This window comes from Homo sapiens, chromosome 2, assembly GCF_000001405.40.
Source record: "Homo sapiens chromosome 2, GRCh38.p14 Primary Assembly".
Taxonomy (NCBI): domain Eukaryota; kingdom Metazoa; phylum Chordata; class Mammalia; order Primates; family Hominidae; genus Homo; species Homo sapiens.
This window is the reverse complement of record NC_000002.12, coordinates 187,680,306-187,687,214: the sequence shown is the minus strand read 5'-3', so window position 1 is coordinate 187,687,214 and position 6,909 is coordinate 187,680,306. Positions and strand designations below refer to the sequence as shown.

The window sequence follows — 6,909 nt, the reverse complement described above, 5'->3', positions numbered from 1 at the left end:
TGAAGTCATGGACATTTTTGTATGATTTTGAAAACATACAGATAAAATAATGTAATATTTGATGTTATTATAAACCGTATATGTTTATTCTATAAAATTTATCACAAGATTATGTAAAAACAATAATGAAATTAGGAATGTGCCAAAACTTCATGCGTTTTTAGGAGAGATTTGTGGCTCTCAATACATAAAGTTTATGCACGAAGCCATAAATCATTTCCAGCATTTTTTTGTTATTCTTAAAAATCAGTCTTAAATAAGAGGAGGTAGAGTGTCAGCCTGCAGCAAACACAGATATGATATGGTGTCATTTTGTTGATCGGTGCTTAAGAAGACCGAATATTTCATATACTCCTCGAGGGGGCTTTTCTGACCTGTCATGCGTGGTTGAAATATACTGCTTCTCCCCTCTGGAAATTAGTTTACTGTGAGGCCTTCTTTAATGTTGTAGAGCCACAAATCTTCTAGGAAGTTAATAAAATTGTTCTTAGCTGCTGCTGGTCCATTCTTATTACAAGGATTAAACTGCCCTGTTCTTAATTGCAGAGTACAGATTGCTGTTGCAGGTTTTTCACTTGTAATAAAATGAAGTAATCTCTGAAGAATAATGATAGGACTAGGCAGGAATCACTCACCTCTTGTCTTCTAAGGGAAATGCTTTTTGTTTCCATGGAGATGCCTTTTATATATGATGAAAGGTACATGGGAGAAAGAGAAAAGCTAATAGGCTCAGGGTTTCATTTGGAGGGGTTAATACGACATGCAGACTCATTTGGTTTTGCTGGAATCACTAGTAGTGCAGTTGCATAAGTAGCATTTTCTCCCAATAGTCAATTAAACATCAATAATTTGCCAACAGCATAAAACTGGTATTGTATATATACACTTGATTTTTTCTCCATTTAATGTTATAATTAGGATGTTTGCCCCTAAGTTTTAGTACTGAGACTAACTCAACCAACTATAAAGTCTGATCTTTGGTAAGAGGGAGATTGTTTATATTCACATTAAAATAAAAAAGAAAGATAGACTATAGTGGCAAACTACTGAGATACTTTAATGTATACATGTTTATACATAATCAATTTTTTTCTCCCTTAAAGAGTAGACACATTATAAAATAATGTGGTAAAATGATCTAGTCAATGTTAAAGATATTATGATAACTTTATCATCAACATCAATATTGTCATAATCAAAAATATTAGAAACCTATTCAAAATACCACTTAATGGGGTGCTTACTGTCTTCTAGACTTTTGTTCTCTTTTTATTTTAAAATATATTAGATTATTTAATCTTTACAATAACTCTACAAATGAGGTACTATGATCTTCATGTTTTGCTCTGACTGTAAAGACGTAATGTAACTTCAACAGCAGAGCTTTTAAAAATACATTCATTTATACATAAAATAGATAGGTTGTAGTTTTACTAATTAACAATGTACGGATCATCCACTTTACAGGTATTTTTCTTGTCATGAATGACTCCACCTTTTCTTTTTGCTAAGGTACAACACATTAGACATATTCTTAGTAGAAGCTTTAGACAATGAGGAAAATGGAAATAAGATTGGTTGAGATCTTAAGACTTTCCAGGAACTGAGATACCACTTAATACGTTCAATCTCATCTCAGTTCTCTACAAATCTTGGAGACAAGATTTCTCTAACGAGAAAATGTGTGTGCAACAAAAATGAAATTCAACATTTTCAAGGACAAGTGCTTGAAGCCTATTTTGGACTCAGGACCATACCCTTGCGACTCTCTCACAACACCTCTTCAGGTTTGTGTTAAGATGCCATTTTATCTATTCCTCTTTTAGGTGGGGTATTTGGTCATGGTTTCAAACCACTGGGAAAATTCTTCCTGGTTTTTTATAATCCATTCTAACGCGACTATTTTGTGGTTGCATACATAATTGGGATATTATGTATCATTTTAAATCATATTTTCAGTTGTTTCAATGTCCTATAAAAGTGTTTTAATATAAAGTATTTGTTTTGTTCATCAGTGAAATAGTACGTAGTAGTACATATCTCATTTGACATTTGACAACACTTGAAAATATTTGCTTTTTTATTTATTTATTATTTTTAGACAGAGTCTTGCTCTGTTGCCCAGGTTGGAGTACAGTGGTGCGATCTCGGCTCACTGCAATCTCTGCCTCCCGGGTTCAAGCGATTCTCTTGTCTCAGCTTCCCGAGTAGCTGGGACTACAGGTGCATGCCCCCACATCCCGCTAATTTTTGTATTTTTAGTAGAGATGGGGTTTCACCATGTCAGCCAGGCTGATCTAGAACTCCTGACCTCAAGTGATCCATCCACCTCAGCCTCCCAAAGTGCTGGGATTATAGATGTGAGCCACCACACCCAGCCAATACTTGAAAATATTTATGAAGATAAAAACCAAATCATTTAGAGTTCTTATAGGTCAATAAAAACTGAAATATATTATCAAAGCAATAATATTTTGTTCTTGAAAAAGTAAATACTTGGTTTCTTCTCAATTTTCTGATTTTAATGTGATGCTAGTTAGAGTTGAAAAGAAAGGTGGGTTAGATGATGACTATTCACTTTTAAATATGGTCTCTCTGCAAAGTAAAAGACTCAAGTAACACCTCTCCAGCTAAAACGAAGCTGATTATGCTGCAAAGTGAATTTGCAGCACATTAATCATAATTTGTGAATATGTTGTAGAGACCGTTTTTATAATGACTTGCTGAAAAATGAGAAACCCTGAGTCCCTATCTCATTCATTTTATTGTGTTTATGAAGCTTCTAAAGTAGGAAAATTGAATGGCACCATAGGGATCAGAAGCAGCTGTTTGTGCTCTTTTGCTCACAGTTGATACAGTCATGACTCACACTCCTCCAAATTATGGAGATTTTTCAGCATTTTAACAAGCAACCTATGTTTATATTATTTTTCCATATCAGCATACATACTTCATGCTTAGTGAGGTTTGAATAAGAAAGAAACATACTGTATAACTTGATCATTATATATCAGTTTGCATTAACATACTTGGTCATAAATGTCCAATATTTTTCTATATAAATCTATCAAACATATCTCTTTAATAATAAATTTGCAAATGTTATGTTATGATATATCTGTTTAATAAATGGAGCTGTTTTAAAAATATTTAGCTATTTTAGGTATTTTAAAAAATATTTCCTCCTAGCAATGTTTTCATATTTGTCAATGCATAGACAAAGTGGTACGTGGGCCAGAAACTTGAAGAATGCTTAAATGTTTTCTAGAAAGATGAAGAAAAGAAGGACATTTCAGCATGGGGAATAAATTGCATTAATGAAGGCATAAATGTATGGAAAAGTGAGGTACAAACATAATGTGCTTCAGGAAGGTGTAAGGGATTTCCAGGAAATTAACATAAAGTTACAAACTGTGACAAGAGTAAAGGAAATAGAAAATCTTTTAAAAACTGTTACATATTTTGGATATTAAATCTTCATCAGATATATAGTTTGCAAATATTTTATCCCATTTTGCAGGTTGTCTACTAATTGTTGATTATACTGTGTGCTTGAAAATCGCTAAGATAGTATATTTCACATGTTCTCACTACAAAGACATAACTATATGAGGTAATGGATGTATTTACCAGCTTGATTCAGCCATTCTACAATATGTACATATACCTAAACATCATGCTGTACACCATAAAGATACAGAATTTGTATTTGTCAATTTAAAAAAAAGCTAAATAATACTTTTGCTGGTTTTGAATCTCAGGAATCTTTTATGAAGACTTTGGGGCTATCATTTTGAAATGTGGACCTCAGGGTGGAAAGGGCCTTTTCCCCCTATATCTGTGGAATTTTGGCCTCAATGCCTGACTCCAAGTTGTAACTTCTTGCTTGTTTTGGAGATGTGAGAAGCTTTGCTTTTCTTTGGATAAAACAACTAAGCTGTATTTAATGAATTATATCTTCCTGGCACACAAAAATGTGAGATTTCTTTCTGTCTTGCAGTCTCTTTAGTGGATTGCCTGTGAGGCAATCACAACTGGGTTTAGTGCTTATTTAATAATAAAACTATTTTCTTTCTTTTTAACATTTATCAAGAAGATTTGTAGAATGGCATAATATTTTACTTATTTCTCCAATGCAAGAAAATCAAAAGCTTTGTGTGCCTTACTTAATGATGATGAAGTTAATCATTAGAAAATCCTGTTGAAGTTTTGAAGAATGAAAATATGAATAGATAGGTGTTTTAGAAATAAATTATGAGCATAATACAGATAAGTGGTTTATAGGAAAGGCTAATGACAAAGAAATACTTTAAGAAATAAAGTAAGAGCTTATACAAAAGGTTAGCGACTAGATGAAGTTAGTGATTCTGGAAACAGAAACGTCTAGGATAGATATAAAACTCTTGCACAGGTAGAAATGACAATGGAATAAACATTATGGATGCTATAAATTTACCAATAATTTATGATAAATATTAAATAATAATAATTTACAATTACTTAATGAGTACTGTGTGCCAGGAAACTGCTGTAATTACTGACATGTATGAAAATACACTCTCACCATAATCCTTTGAAGTAGATTCTATTACTGTGTTACAAATTAAGATATTGAGAGAAAGAGTTTGAGTCATTTGCTGAGGGTTACAGACCTGACAATTCATGGTGGTTATTGCAATAAAGATCAAAATTAAAATAAACATATCAATTGATTGAACATAAATAGAACAATGAAGAAAGAATGATACAGGAATAGGAAACCAAGGTGTTAACTTTGATCAGGTCTGCCTGACCTGCTTGCTTTTGGTCATTTGCCTCTTGTTAATTTTCTTTTCCCCTTTTCTCATGAACTTGAAGGCTGCAGTAGCTGAAGGACACATCACTAAATGCTGAAACTTTTCACTGGCTATGTTATAGATAACGTTCACAAGTCACAATGGTAACAGTTGCTTCAGTTGTTTTTCAGAAACTTTGGCCAGCTCCTGGACAGCTCAAACTGGTTGAGACCGCTGATCTTTCAACTGGGCCTGCACAAGTGCCCAAGAGATTACTTTTTGAGGTGGGAGAACCAAAAACTCCACCCCCAGATCATATTGATGCCACCATTTTCTGTACATATGTCCTATGAAATGCCATGAACTCTGGCTATTTAGTGTCACAAGGGAGGTCACAATCTTATTCCCTTCAGTCACTGCATGAGACTGAAAAAAGGAAAATCAAATTCAGGTTAGAGCAGAGACATGCTGAGAAGCCAGGCCAGAAACGCCTCCGGGAACCTGCCATTGTTTGTTTAAAACAGTAAGTGGTGAAGAGTTTTTAAAAGTTTTTAAGAGTGATAGAACATATTCGACTATTTCAGAAAGTAATAAAGCTATTAATAGCTGTGCAAGAATCTAATACCCACAGTGAAAAACTCCACATTAAAAGCTGAGCTGGCACATACGGATTAGGATGAAGATCTATCTTTTTCTAAATCTACATTTTGAGAGTCTGTACTATTTGGATGGTCATTCTACTTGGGCAGAATGAACTTGTCACTTCACTTATCCCCATTGCCAATTACTTTTCCCCGTACCTTAGACCATCCCACTTCCCTAACCCATAAATGTCCCTAAGCCTTATCTTTAGGGAGGTGGAGTTGAGAGCTATTCTCCCACTTTCTCGCTCAGTTCCCTTGTGAACAAAATATTTTCTCTTTTACAAAACCCATGTCACAATGACTGACTTGCTGCAGGCAAGTGGGATGGATCTGGACCTGGCCAGTAACAAATATGTATAAACTTGGAAAGTTGATGGGTATTAACACCGAGTAAGAAAAAATGTCAACAGAACCACTAATCCAAGAATATTCTTTCACAAAGGATGAATCTTGGAAGACTGGCTTACTTAAAATTCTACGGCTGACTAAAAAGAATACGAGATGAAGAGGTATGGGGTGTATTCACTAGAACATAAAATATACACTATTAGTGTAAATGAGAGACATGTAAACTAACAAATAAAGTGCCCAGGTAGAGATCAGCGCTCTTGGAAAAAAACTCATAGAAACTCTGAGGACCTTTTTCTTTGTCTTACTTTTTAAAGAAAAATCCTAGTAAATACTTAAACATCTGGGTAATTATAAACTCTGCTGCAGAAATAATACTTGAATGTATTTGTAAATGTAGGTATATGTAGCTATGTGTGTGCATATGTGTCTGTGAGTGTGCATATACACAGATGCACATATACACACATATGTATATACACATATATGTATAATGTGATATATATGTTATTCTAAATCTAAGTGAATGTGACATACTGTGGAGGAACATATCTGTTAGAAATCAAAATTTCATCTCTGTTATTGACCTCTCTGAATGTTGCCTCCTTGAAATAACAGCAAAATCTATTCTTTCATAAGTTTTTAATTAGTTTTATCAGTTAATCTGAGATGTCATTAATTAATGTACTTTGTGGCAGTATGATGCCTAAGGGCATTTAAAAAATTTGATTTTGTAGTAAAACTTCCTTGAATAAATGATTCATAAAATCAATACAACACTGTAATCCCTATATGACCAAAGGAGGCAAATGCTACAAAATAGATTTTTTCTTTCTAGAAGTTATTTTTCTTTAAGTTCAGGGATACAAGTGCATGTCTGTTACATAGGTAAACTTGTGTCATGAGGGTTTGTTGTATAGATTATTTCATCACCCAGGTATTAAGCCTAGTACCCATTAGTTATTTTTCCCAGTCTTCCCCCTCCTTCCACCCACTACCCTCTGAAGAACCCCAGTGTGTGTTCCCCTCTAGGTGTCCATGTGTTCTCATCATTTAGCTCTGACTTACAAGTGAGAACATTGGTTTTCTGTTCCTGTGTTAGTTGCTAAGGAAAACGGCCTCCAGCTTCATCCCTGCAAAGG

At 34.0% G+C, this 6,909-nt stretch overlaps 1 annotated feature.

Annotated features, from left to right (window-relative positions):
* Positions 5,527–5,727: a silencer, noted in NCBI's record as "peak3986 fragment used in MPRA reporter construct". NCBI's record gives its function as "represses an SCP1 promoter by STARR-seq MPRAs in K562 erythroleukemia cells {active_cell/tissue: K562}" and the evidence as "EXISTENCE:reporter gene assay evidence [ECO:0000049][PMID:32103011]".